This window comes from Homo sapiens, chromosome 1 (assembly GCF_000001405.40).
Source record: "Homo sapiens chromosome 1, GRCh38.p14 Primary Assembly".
NCBI classification, from domain to species: domain Eukaryota; kingdom Metazoa; phylum Chordata; class Mammalia; order Primates; family Hominidae; genus Homo; species Homo sapiens.
The window spans coordinates 54,880,135-54,893,422 of NC_000001.11; the positions used below are offsets into that span (position 1 = coordinate 54,880,135).

General features: G+C 45.3%; 1 protein-coding gene and 1 long non-coding RNA gene across 2 annotated transcripts in view, besides 4 other annotated features; one reads left to right on the forward strand and one right to left on the reverse strand.

The window, feature by feature from the left end:
• Window positions 1-7,061, reverse strand: part of DHCR24 (24-dehydrocholesterol reductase) — a 37,569-nt gene extending 30,508 nt beyond the window's left edge. Inside the window, exons 1-2 of the mRNA NM_014762.4 lie at window positions 6,755-7,061; window positions 3,484-3,639 (exon numbers count right to left, since the gene is read on the reverse strand). Coding sequence (NP_055577.1) covers window positions 3,484-3,639; window positions 6,755-6,985 — 387 coding nt within the window. The 5' untranslated portion in view covers window positions 6,986-7,061. The remainder of the gene's footprint in view (window positions 1-3,483; window positions 3,640-6,754) is intronic.
• Window positions 3,113-3,682: an enhancer, noted in NCBI's record as "H3K4me1 hESC enhancer chr1:55348920-55349489 (GRCh37/hg19 assembly coordinates)". NCBI's record gives its function as "activates a minimal SCP1, AML or CMV promoter by ChIP-STARR-seq in naive H9 embryonic stem cells {active_cell/tissue: H9 hESC(naive)}" and the evidence as "EXISTENCE:reporter gene assay evidence [ECO:0000049][PMID:30033119]".
• Window positions 6,588-7,089: an enhancer, noted in NCBI's record as "H3K27ac hESC enhancer chr1:55352395-55352896 (GRCh37/hg19 assembly coordinates)". NCBI's record gives its function as "activates a minimal SCP1, AML or CMV promoter by ChIP-STARR-seq in naive H9 embryonic stem cells {active_cell/tissue: H9 hESC(naive)}" and the evidence as "EXISTENCE:reporter gene assay evidence [ECO:0000049][PMID:30033119]".
• Window positions 6,588-7,504: a biological region, named in NCBI's record as "H3K27ac hESC enhancer GRCh37_chr1:55352395-55352896".
• Window positions 7,035-7,504: a silencer, noted in NCBI's record as "silent region_926". NCBI's record gives its function as "represses an Ori minimal core promoter by ATAC-STARR-seq in GM12878 lymphoblastoid cells {active_cell/tissue: GM12878}" and the evidence as "EXISTENCE:reporter gene assay evidence [ECO:0000049][PMID:35858748]".
• On the forward strand, window positions 7,377-10,135 carry DHCR24-DT (DHCR24 divergent transcript). Its single transcript, XR_001738059.3, has 2 exons — window positions 7,377-8,548; window positions 8,745-10,135. It is a non-coding gene; the product is annotated as a DHCR24 divergent transcript (long non-coding RNA).

The window sequence follows — 13,288 nt, forward strand, 5'->3', positions numbered from 1 at the left end:
ACAAAATACCAGTATCAAGAACGAAAGACCTGACATAGCTACAGATATCTAAAGGAAGTATTGTGAACAACTTTATGTCAATAAATTATACAACTTAGTGAAATGGACAAATACCTTTGAGACACAAACTACCAAAGCTAACCCAAGAAGAAATAAATAAACTGAAGAGCCCAGTACCTATTAAAGAAATTGAATTTGTGCTTAAAAACTTCCTTACAAAGAAAACTCCAGGCCCAGAGAGCTTCACTTTAAGGTTTCTATAAAAATTCTACAATAAAATATAGGAGAAAGCCTTTCTGACATTGGATAGGCAAAGATTTCCTAAATAAAATATCAAAATGCAAAGTAGGCCAAGCGCGGTGGCTCACGCCTGTAATCCCAGCACTTTGGGAGGCCAAGGTAGGTGGATCATTTGAGGCCAGGAGTTCGAAACCAGCCTGACCAATGTGGTGAAACCCCCTCTCTATTAAAAATACAAAAATTAACCAGGTGTGGTGGTGTGCACCTGTAATCCCAGCTACTTGGGAGGCTGAGGCACAAGAATTGCTTGAAACCGGGAGATGGAGGTTGCCGAGAACTGAGATAGCACCACTGCACTCCAGCCGGGGCCACAGAGCTAGACTCTGTCTCAAAAAACAAAAATATAAACAAACAAACAAACAAACAAACAAAACCCCCACAATGCATAAAAGAAGAAATTAACAAATTGGGAAAAATTAAAACTTCTGATTTGGCCAGGCGTGGTGGCTCACGCCTGTAATTCTAGCACTTTGGGAGGCCAAGGCAGGCAGATCACCTGAGGTCAAGAGTTTGAGACCAGCCTGGCCAACATGGTGAAACCCCGTCTCTACTAAAAATACAAAAAATTAGCTGGGTGTGGTGGCACATGCCTGTACTCCCAGCTACCCAGGAGGCTGAGGCAGGAGAATCACCGGAACCTGGGAGGCGGAGGCTGCAGTGAACCAAGATCGTGCCACTGCACTCTAGCCAGGGCGACAGAGTGAAACTCTGTCTCAAAAAGAAAAACTAAATAAAGCTTCTGGTTTTCAAAAGAGAAGCCACAGACTGTGAGAAAATATTTGCAAATCATGAATCTAATAAAGGATGTTGTTTCAGGGTCTAATATCCAGCATCAATAAGGAACTTAAACAAACTTACAAGAACAAAACAACCCCCATTAAAAAGTGAATATAAAAAGGACATGAACAGACACTTTTCAAAAGACAAGCATGTGGCCAAGAAGCATATGAAAAAAAGCTCAACATTACTGATAATTAAAGAAATGCAAATCAAAACCACAATGAAATACCATCTGACACAGTCAGAATGGCTATTATTAAAAAGTCAAAAAATAACAGATGCTGGTGAAGTTGCAGAGAAAAAGGAACATTTATACACTGTTGGTGGGAGTGTAAATTAGTTCAACCATGTGGGAGACAGTGTGGTGATTCCTTAAAGACCAAAAAACAGAAGCAGCATTTGACCCAGCAATCTCATTACTGGGTATATATACCCAAAGGAATATAAACCATTGTATCATAAAGACACATGCATGTGTATGTTTACTGCAGCACAACTCACAATAGCAAAGACATGGAATCAACTTAAATGCCCATCAGTGGTAGACTGGATAAAGAAAATGTGGTACGTATACACCATGGAATACTATGCAGCCATGTTCCTTTGCAAGAACATGGATGCAGCTGGAAGCCATTATCCTTAGCAAACTAATGCAGGAACAGGAAACCAAATACCGCATGTTCTCACTTATAAGTGGGAGCTAAATGATGAGAACACATGGACACATACAGGGGAACAACAGACACTGGGTCCTATCAGAGGGTGGAGGGAGGGAGAAGGGAGAGGATCAGGAAAAATAACTAATAGGTACTAGGCTTAATACCTGGGTGATGAAATAATATGTACAACAAACCCCATGACACACGTTTACCTATATAACAAACCTGTACAGGTACCACTTAATTTAAAAGTTTAAAAGAAAAAAAAAAAAGATGTTTCCAGAATATATAAGAAAACCACCTGAATTTTTTTAAATTGGCAAAAGATTTGATCAGGCCTCACCAAAGAAGATATACAAATAGCAAACATGCACATGGAAAGATCATTAGTCACTAGGGAAATGTGAATTAAAATTACAATGAAAAACTACTACACATCTATTAGAATGGCTAAAATTAAGACTAACCATATCAAGTCTATTACAATGTGGAACAAGAACAACACTCACGCTGCTGGTGGAAATGTAAAATGCTACAATCACTTGGAAAAAAAATTTGGCACTTCCTTAAAAAGTTAAATGTACACCCACCTTATGATCTAGCCATTCCATTCCTAGATATTTGCCCAAGAGAAAGGAAGGCATGTGCCCATACAAAGACTGTTCACAAATGTTCCATTTTATTTGTAATTGCCCCAAACTGGAGCCAGCCAAAATGTCCATCAGTAGGTGAATGGATAAACCAGCTGTGATACATCCACACAATATGTGTGGGAATATGACTCAGCAGTGAAAGAGAATGAACTATTGACACACCTTTCAACATGGATGAATCTCCAAATAAAGATGTTGAGTGAAAGAGGCTAGACAAACAAAAAGTACTGTATGATTCCATTTATATAAACTCTAGAATCAAACTAATTTATAGTGGCAGAAAGGTCATTGTTTGCCTAAGGCTGTGGGGGGCGGGTAGGGGAAGAGGCAGGGCTAGGGGCTAGAGGAAGGGATTACCAAGGAGCATGAGGAGATTTTGGGGTGTGATGGGTATGTTTGTTGTCTTGATTGTGGTAAGAGTTTTACCACACTTTAAATACGTCAATAAAGCTATTAAAAAAAATGGCACAGAGAGATTAAGTAACTTGGCCAAGGTCTCACAATAATAACAAAATGCCATCAAGTAGACATACCATATTTAATGACTACCCTATTATTGGATATTGTGTTGTTGTCAATTAGAAATAAAGCTGTGATATAATCACTCTGTGTTGGGTATCTTTATACTGAAGCCTATTTCCTTTTTCCTTAAGCCAGGTTTCGAGAAGTAAAATTACTAGATGGGCCAAAAAGTATGTACATTTCGAAGGCTATTAAACAAGAGGGTTTCCAGGAAGCTTGTAACAAGACCCATGTCTCTCAGTCACTTCTGTAGCCCATTTTTTACCAGCACACTTCCTTATCAGGAAGGGGTAAGTAGATTCCTTTTTGCCTCTCATTTTTGCTCACGAATTCCCCATTCCTGACTTCCTGTGGAAACGCAAAGGGTTCCCCTGACCTATTATGACCCATCTCTCCCCTGGTGGCTGTGAGGCTTGAGGACAGCAATGGCAGGGAGTATCTTCTATGACTGTGGGCATTGGTCCTGTCCACTCTGCAATGCCCTTGGCTAAAATCATCTCCCTATGAGTCACTTGCACCAGGGGCAGTGCCCCACCTGCTCCCAGAGCCCGGAAAAGTGCTACTCTCACCTGTTTCTTGGTGTCCACTTCCAGAATGTCCATCAGGTTGATCATGATGTTTTTGTGTGTCTTCTTGTACTTCCCGACACGTAGTGAGACAGTGAGCCAGCCAGGGCGCCCCGTGCACATGAAGGTCTTGCTACCCTGCTCCTTCCATTCCCGCACCTGCAACCACAGGACAGAGGGTGAGCTGGCCCCACTGGGAATCCCCAGAGCAGCCTGCAGCCCTGCTTTCTTCAAGGGCGAGCTGGGAATGATGCCTCCATCAGGCACTGGAGAAACAGAACAATGAAAAGGCCTGCTGGCCCTACCCTCTGGCACCTCCCTGGCCAGCAAGGCTGACAGAAAAGCCAACATATTGCTACACCACAAGGCAGAATGATGAAAGAGCTAGAAGAGAGGATCGAAGTGTTCTGAAAACATTAACTCTAGCTGGGAAGTTCAGAAAAGGTTTTGTAATGGTGATAATAGCAAGTATAAAAATGAGGACCATTTACTGGGTATTCCCAACACACTAGGCATCTACTGCACACTGTCTTGTGTAATTCCTACAACAGTCCCAGGAAGTTACGATGACACCCTTTTTTCGAGGATAAGGAAACTCAAAAGCAAAATAACTTGTCCAAAGTCACACAATTGGTAAATGGCAGAGCTGAGATTCATAGCCAGGACTGTTTGACTTCAGGACAGGAAAGATAGATGGAGTTGTGGTAACAGTTCACAGGGTAATAGCTAACACGTATGGAGGCTTATCACATGCCAAGGCCTGTTTAAACATTTGTATATGTTAACTCATGCATCACTTTGAGGGGAAGAGGAGGAGCAGGGAAGGACCACCAAGCCAATGGAAGGAAGAGGTTTTACAAAACCTCTAAGGTAAGTGACCAGAGCACAAAACACAGAACAAATGGCCCATGGATGACAAGCCCATCAGAAATGCAGGAGGAAGTGTTTCTTTTCTGCTGAGATAGACAAGTGCAGGGGGGGTGGATATTTGTCATTTTGACCTGTGACCATCCATTTCCTCTTCATCCACTTCTAACAATCCCCATCTTCCTTTGGTCCAAGTGAGACTGATTCTACTCCCCTACCCCAGGAGGTGGGTACATGACTGAGGACTGATTCTATACTTCTGGCCAGAGACAGATTAATGACATCTCATTAAGTCAAGCCAATGAGACCAGTTCCAGGACAGCCACTCTCTCTTTACTGGGGTCGCTAAGCCGGTTGGATATGAGCCAGAAACTGTTGGGGCCTCTGCAGGGAGAGAGGCTCCAGAGAATGAAGTCAACCTAGAAAAGCAGGGCCAACAGATGGCAGAGGGATGGACAGATGGAGATGGGGGACAGAGGATCCTGGATCCAGCCATGCCTGATCCAGTTGTACTCCCAGACTTTTCAGGACCTGAGCCAATAAAATCCCTTTTTGCTCAAGTCAGTTTGAATTGAGCTTCTTTCACTTGCAACCAAAAGTCTGGTCAAATACTGGTCAGGTCTCCTGGAGAAGGCTGCACTGGAGCTGGCTAGGCAAACAGCTCAACACGGGGAAGGACTTTTCTTTGATCAGAGGCCAGGGCAGGTATTAAGGAAGAGATTCCTGTGATTTGGGGGAAAAGGGATGATAGGTAGGATTCCACGACCAACCAGGTCTCGTCCCTGCCTGAATCTGCAGCCACGGAGTTTGACACAAGCCCAGAGATGGGAGGGAGTGATTAGGGGTGCTGCACTGAAGCTGGAGGCCAAACAGAGAGCCCAGAAAAAAGGGCAACTAGGTCAGACAGCTATTACAAGCCAGGTGTGAGGCAACTGAACCAGACCTATAGGGGGGAAGGGAAAGCCTGGGAAAGAAGAAATGTCAGAGTTCAGGCTCTGAAATCGAGCTAACCTAGGTTCTAGCCCCATTTACTGACTAGTCTTCCTGAGCACATGACTCACACTCTGAAACTCAATTTTCCCTGTTTGTAAGATAGGCACAAGATCTACCAGGGTTGCTGTGAGGATGGCAATGGCACATGGCAGGTCTGGGGTAGAGGCTAGTCCAGCTGGGCCCCTGTTTTCCTGCTCACAGTGAATCTTGTGGCTTAGCCAAGATTAATAGGCACTCGCTAGGCTGTTTTGAGCCAGGCCCTATGGGCCACAGGCGAGTCACATAACAGTCCCTGCATTCTAGGAGCTCACAGTCTGACAGGGGAGACAAGCAGGTAAATGGAGAATTTGAACTCGAGAAAAGAGCTAGGAAACAGGGTGCAGGTGGGGAGGGAGGACACGCAGAGGCTCTGGAGCCATGACTGTGACCAGCAAAATCCAGAGCTACAGGGCAAAGCACTTCCAGACACTGCGTTCTCCCACCAGGCCCCAGGTCTTATGCCTCATGGGAACGTCTCTCCGCATCCATCTTCATGCTCTTGCCTGAAGCACCCAGCGCGGAGCAAGCAGAATATGGAGGCTGCTACACCTACGGAAGGGTGGCAGCAGGAAACAGAAGCTCTCTGCAACCTGATGCCAACAAGAGAGGAACATAAAGAGAAGCAGAGGGAGTCAAGAAACTGCCCAAGTCCCTGGATGCAGAGGAGGCTCCACTGTGAGCCACAGCAGGTCACAGGCTCCGTGGGTGCCTGAGGAACTGAGAGATGGACCGACTGCCTTTGTCAAGGAGTGAGCCCTCCGTCAGCAGAGGCTGTGAGGTTCTTCCCTCCCGCTTCTGGGCTGGGTTCTACCTTCTTGCTTTAGTCTTCTATCCTAAACCCAATCAAAAGCGTCTTGCTGTACAAAATAAAGTCCAAACTCGGCCTTGGCATCAAGGCCCCTCTCCAGCCTAGCACCAAACGGACTTTTCCGACGTTCTCCCGCCCCTGCCCTGCACTTGTCGGCTTCCCAGCATTTGCTCACACCAGTCCCTCCACCCACACACCTTCCCCCAATCATTTCCCATACTTCCCAATCTCTAGACCCAGCTCCACCTCCCGGAAGCCTTTCCTTCTCTGAAATGCTTGGGCCGGGTGAGAGTTACCTGAGTGCTTCGCACCTCCCCCTCTTCCCCTTCTTCATCTCCCTCCAGGTACCCGCATATGCCCTGCACACAGTGGGCACTTTGCCTGTTCTGTTCCCCCGCCCCCATCACATTTTTGTTTCGTTCCAACCCCTCTCCAACGCCAGCTCCCCACCCCCCCAGGAAGTCCTGGCCGCCCCCGCACCGCAGCTCCCGTCGCCACCTCGCGTCCCGCTATCCCCGCGCACGCCGCCTCCGGCCCTGAGTCCCGGCCGCACCCGGCGCCGCTCACCTGCTTCTGGATGTCCCGCACGCGCTGCTCGTGCAGGCGCGGAGCGCTGCTGAGCTTGAACACCACCCAGGCGCGCACGTAGTAGTAGATATCGAAGATAAGCGAGAGCGGCAGGAGGAAGAGGCACACGAACACCCAGCGCTGGTGGATGAGCACGAACTCCAGCCCCTTCAGGCGCACCCACAGCAGGAAGAGCAGCGCGCACACGGCCAGCGACACGGCGGGCTCCATGGTGCGGCGCCGCGCGGTAAGCGCTGCGGGTTCGCGCCTCCTGTCACTGCCGCCAGCTCCGCGCCTGGCCCGCTCTGCGCCTGTAGCCCACAGCCCGGGGAGCCCGGGATCGCCCGCCGCCTCGCGATTGGCTCGGGTCGCCGAGGTTCGGTGGGCCGAGACCCGGGCGGCGACCAATGGCGAGCCGCGCCGGGGATCGGACCAGGAACCCGCAGCTTTCATTGGCTGCGGGAGTCGGACCGCTCCACCCTTTTCTCCCCGCCGCCGCGCGAGGCGGGGGTGCCAGGGACTGGGTGCCGGTGGGGTCCGCTGCGAATACTGGGGGTGGGCAGTTGGGACTCAGGGCCCCAGGCCCTCGGGGCTGCGGGGCCGCCTCTTCCAAACGCGCCTTAAGCGGTTTTGCAGTGGCTTTCCGCCGGAGGGCTGGGAGGCGCCCCGGCCCTGAGTCAGTCACCCTTTGGCCGGACAGGCGGTTCCCGGGCGCGGAGGATGGAAACCTGGCGGTAACCTCTGCAGGTCGTGCCACTCGGTGTGCGCAAGGTCTCCAGAGGCATCTTTTCATTTTTAGGGGGCACTTTCCACGAATTCATTTGAGCTACACAGCAGTCCTGGGCAGTGGGGAGTGGTGAGCTCCATTGTGTACACTTGGAAGCAGCCCAGAAAGGTGAAGACCTGTTCGTGAACTCCAGAGGCCATTGGAAGCATGGAAGGCTATGGCTGGCACTCTTCCTCTTTTTCCAGTTCACTGAGGCAGATGGGAGGCCCGGAGGAGAAAGAATGAAGGAAGGCATTTCAGCCCGAGTAAACTCCCCAGGCCCGCTCTGTGCCAGGCAGTGTTGCAAGCCTCGGGTAGGGTGGTGAGCAAAGCAGATGGCCCTGCCCTCACTCAGCAACCAGTGTAGGGGAGCTGCCACGGTTACCAGCAAAAGCTGAAATCCAGCGCCATTTGCATTTCATATGGAATTTTAGGAAGTTTTCGAGATGTTTTAGTTTAGAAGCTAAACATGACATACCAGGTTCTTCTCTGTCTGGCCTTGCATACCTATCCAGTTCCCTCTCCATTCATCTCTGCCCTGACATGCACTCAGGAGGCTCCCTGGGCCTCAGCATTCCTCATTTGCGCGCCTCTGGTCAAGCTAGTACCTCTGAATGCCCTTTCCCATCCCCTTCTCAGAGTTCACCTCACACATTCCGAAGCCAGCTCAGGGCCACCTCTGAAACATTTAGAGCACTCCCCTGCCCATCCAGATGCTCATTAAATAGTGTGCATCTCTGTCACCGTTCTTTCATGTTATTTTATAATTGTCTCTTTATGTGTCTCTCACCCCCACAGACTGAGCCTTAGGGCAAACAATGTCTTGTTCACTTTTGTCCTTCCAGCTTCTAGCACGGTGCTTTGTGCACAGTAAACACTCCAGCGGCTGTTGACCAATGAATGAATGAAGATTGTAGGCTCAAATATTCAAGTTATCAAAGTGCAAAGAATGAGAGGTTGTTTGCACTGGACTTCAAAAATAAATAGCCTGGACCTGTACTGTCTTACACAACAGCTATGAGCTACTGGTATGTGGCTAGTCCAAACTGAAATGCCCTTTAAGAGTAAAACACACACTGGATTTCAAAGACTTAGTACAAAGAAAAAATGCAAAATAGCTCATTAGTAATTTTTATGTTAATGACATGTTGAAATAACATTTTGATATATTAAGTAAAATATAGTATTAGAATTAATTTCACCTGTTTTATTTACTTTTTTAAGGTGGCTACTAGAAAATTTAAAATTACAGATTTGTCTTGTATTACATCTCTAGAAGCTCCAACCAACAGGGGGACAGTGAAGTATGAAGAGGAAAGCCAATGTGAAAAATGCCTCTCCCCGATTCTGTCTGACTCTGTTAAAGAGGGCTTTGCTTTAGAAGCTTAACCATTCTGATTATTTTGGGGGTGTGAGGTAATCTGGAAAGTAAAATTTACCTAAAAATTAACTGAAGAGTGTTGTGTAGGAGAAACAGTGGAAATTACTGGTTAATCAGAATAGTTTTATACTTGGGAAGAGAAGGATGGAGTCCCAGAAAGTAGATACAACTGATCTTTAGGAAACAACTCCCAAAAAAGGAAAGGAATAAAAAAGTACTCAGGCTGGGTGTGGTGGTTCATGCCTGTAATCTCAGCACTTTGAGAGGCCAAGAGGGGCAGATTGCTTGAGCCCAAGAATTCAAGACAAGCCTGGGCAACATAGCAAGACCCTGTCTCTAAAAAAAAAAAAAAAAGAATAAAAAAAAAAGCTGGGCATTGTGGCATGCACTTGTAGTCTCAACTACTCAGGAGGTTGAGGTGGGAGGACCGATCACTTGAGCCTGGGAGGTCAAGGCTGCAGTGAGCCATGATCACGCCACTGCATACTAGTGTTAGCAACAGGCTGTCTCAACAACAAAAAAGTGAAAAAGTACTCAGAACAATTGTTTATTCAGTGTGCACGTTTCTCATTCTCTCTTCCTGCCTACCCTCCTCATATTTCTGATTCTTCTTTTCTGTCTCCCCAAACTCTAATCCTTTGGGTTGCTTTTATCCAGGTAAGGAAAGCAGTCACTTGAGTTGAGCCAATCAATTAATTAATTTTTTAAGTTAACATATAGTAAAACTGCTTAATCTTTGTACAGCTGATGAATTTTAGCATGATGAGGATTCCTGTAACTACTACCACAATGAGGATACAGAATAGTTCCACCACCCCAAAAAACTCCCTCTGCTGCCCCTTTGTAGTCATACTCTCCCCTACCTCCTAGCCCCTGGCAATCATTGCCCTGTTCTGTCACTATAGTTTTGTTTTTTTTCCAGAAGGTCATATGAATGGAATCATATGATATATAACCTTGGACCTACTAATTTTTGCTGGAGTCAAAGCAGCTTCCTTTGTCAGGGAATCTATTCATATTATACATTACTTACAGAGTTGATGGAGCATGCAGACAGTCAGAATGCTTAGGAATAGGATGTTCTGGGCAAGAACTTTTCAGGTTAACTAGGTAAACCCCTTTTATAGTTTGACCACGTAGCAATCTTTCTACAATGTGAGCCTCTATTTCTTTCTTAATAAATAGAGTGTAAAGAACAGTTTTTTTTTTCTTCAGTAAAGGAGCATGATAAATACCAGAGTCCTAACAAATTGCATTTTCTTATATTTGTACAGTGCAGCTACTGAGATCATTTGATCTTTGCAACCAGTCTCAGGAGTGGCAATGCAGGGAATTAATATGTATTTTTTTTTAAATAAATGGGGACATTTAGACTCAGGTTAAGTGACTTACCTGATCAATGTCTTATTCTGGTGAATAGAGAATTCTAATGCAGTTGGTCTGCAAACTACACTTCACACAATAATCAAGGGAGCAGATTCAAATGATGGAAAGATCCAGAAGTTGGGAGCCATTCATGTGGTTCCGTTCCATAGATATGAAGTAGAAGTTTTAGAACAGGGTTTGTTGAAGTGTGGTTTGTAGACCAACTACATCAGAATGCTTGCTAAAATGCAGAGTCCTAGACTCTACCATATCCCACTGAAGCTAAATCTCCAGAAGTGGGGCCAGAAATCTACTTTTTAAGAAGTCAGCTACGTTATTCTTATGCATGCTAAAATTTAGGAGATTGGACTGAGTATTAATCCTGGAACTTCTTTAAGAATATTACCTTTGTTTGGCCAGGTGCGGTGGCTCACGCCTGTAATCCCAGCACTTTGGGAGGCTGAGGCGGGAAGATCACAAGGTCAGGAGATCAAGACCATCCTGGCTAATGTGGTGAAACCCCATCTCTACTAAAAATACAAAAAATTAGCTGGGTGTGGTGGCGGGTGCCTGTAGTCCCAGCTACTCAGGAGGCTGAGACAGGAGAATGGCGTGAACCCAGGAGGCAGAGCTTGCAATGAGCTGAGATCATGCCACTGCACTCCAGCCTGGGCAGCAGAGCAAGACTCTGTCTCAAAAAAGAAAAAAGAAAAAAAAAAATATATATAGTATTACCTTTGTTTTCTTTGTTTTAAAGTAAAGCCCTAACAGGCCAAGGTTGGTGGCTCATGCCTGTAATCCCAGCACTTTGGGAGGCCTGGGGGAGGTGGGTCACTTGAGGTCAGGAGTTCGAGACCAGCCTGGCCAACATGGTGAAACCCCGTCTCTACTGAAAATCCAAAAATTAGCCTGGCATGGTGGTGCATACCTATAATCCCAGCTACTTGGGAGGCTGAGGCAGGAGAATCGTTTGAATCCGGAAGGTTGAGGCTGCAGTGATCTATGGATAGCACCACTGTACTCCAGCCTGGGTGATAGACTGACCCTGTCCAAAACAAAAAAGAAGTCCGAATGCAGATTGACCAAGAGTTGGTTAATTCATTGGTTCAGTGACAATTTGAAAGACCCAGTTCTTTTTATCTTTTGCCTACTCTGTCTTCTCAGGTTAACTCCCCTGATGAGGGCAGAGCAGCCATGTTCCAGGTGCTACATCATATACAGCAACATCTAGCAAAATAAGGGGAACCAATTTCAGATGGAAATTAACCATTTCTGCAGCACATTCATTCAATGATTTTAAATGTGCGGGAATTGTGCAAAATGCTGGGGACACAGTAGTGAATTAGACACAATTCTTTTCCTGACAGATCATGTGTGGATCTAGGCAATCAAGAATTAATTATAAATCAACATCATAAGTACTATGATAAGGGTATTATGGAAGCACATGAAGATATCTATCTATCAATCAATCCATTGATAGGTAGATAGATATATGCAGTCCCGAAGGGCTTCTGAGAGGAAGTGATGACTAAGCAGAGATACCACAGGATAAGTGGAAGTTAGCCAGGTGAAGTATTGGGTCTAAGGAATAAGAGCATTCCAGAAGAGGGATGCCATGCCCAAAAAGCTCAGAAGCAGGTGAGTGGATGTGATATTTAGGGGAACTGAAAGTTTATCCTGTACAGTACAAACAATAGAGAACTACTGGGAGATTTTTGAAGAGAGAGTGCCACCATTCTCACAATATTTAGGATAATTGCTCTGACTGCAGGAAGGGAGACAAATCAGTGGTGAGCAGGAGTGAGGCCAGGTAGGATGCCGACAAAAATCCAGGTGAGAACTGATGAGGTTACAAAGCTAAGGCAGTATCAGTAGAAATGGAAAGTAGATGAATAGTTGGAGACAGATTGAAGGAGAAGGTAGGAAAAAAGAAAAGGAGTCAAAGATGATTTCCGGGCATTTTGCTTGGATGACAAGGATGTTTACCAGCATGGCAGAGAATGTAGGTTTAGAATCAGTCTTGGGGTTAGAGTGGGAGGGAAGATGAATTAGAGGTCATCTGGTCTGGTGAAAAGAAATGATAGCTGGACATCTTCAGGGTATGCATAGCAAAGCCACAGAGTACGTCTCCTGTATCCTTTCCCTTTGGGTTGCTGATGTCTTCTTCCCAAGATGTCAATGAATCAATCTGACAAATTAGCCCTTATTAGCATGGCTGTCTTTGAAGCAATAATATTTTCTTGAAAGGAGATTAATAACAGCTATAACATTATATTTTATGTAAAAATCATTGTATTGCTTCTGTAAACATGGCATATGCTTTTCTAAACAATTCAAACTATACAGGGAAGTACAGAGAGGAAACTAAAAATTGACTCATTCCATCATGCAGATGACTGAAGTTCACATTTTCATGACATTCCTTTTAGACATATCTCTAGGCCCATATACACGTATGTATAGTATTTAATAAAATAAGAGCAACTCTACAGGAGCTTTACAATTTGTTTTTAAAAAACTTAACAATATACAATAGACATATGGTTTCTTTGTATTCCAATGTGTGTATTCAGGTGTATGTGTTTAGGTGTGTGCACACCTATATGTGTGTAGCTTAATTTATTCAAAAAGTCTATTATTGAAAGACATTTAAGTGTTTTTAAACTTTTGTTATGATGAGCAAAGTTTCAGTGAATTTCCCTTATTATTCACATTTTCAAACTGTCAACCTAAATAACAACGAGAGGCTCTCTAAAAGAAATATATTTGGGAATAAAACATTGTGATGGGAATACATGTGCCATGCTAAGCTATGTACATTTTCAGGGAGGTAAAGGAAGACAAAGATTTTTAAAGGAAAAAATAAGGAGGATTACACAATTGTTTTGAAATAATTATCCTTGGCTGCAAAGATAAGTAACAAGGGTTATGCCTTACCGAGAGTACACAGGAAGTTTCTGGGCAGATGTCCTTGCAGAAGCATTTTTTATGTAAGCTTGTGATGGCCTTTAGTCCAAGG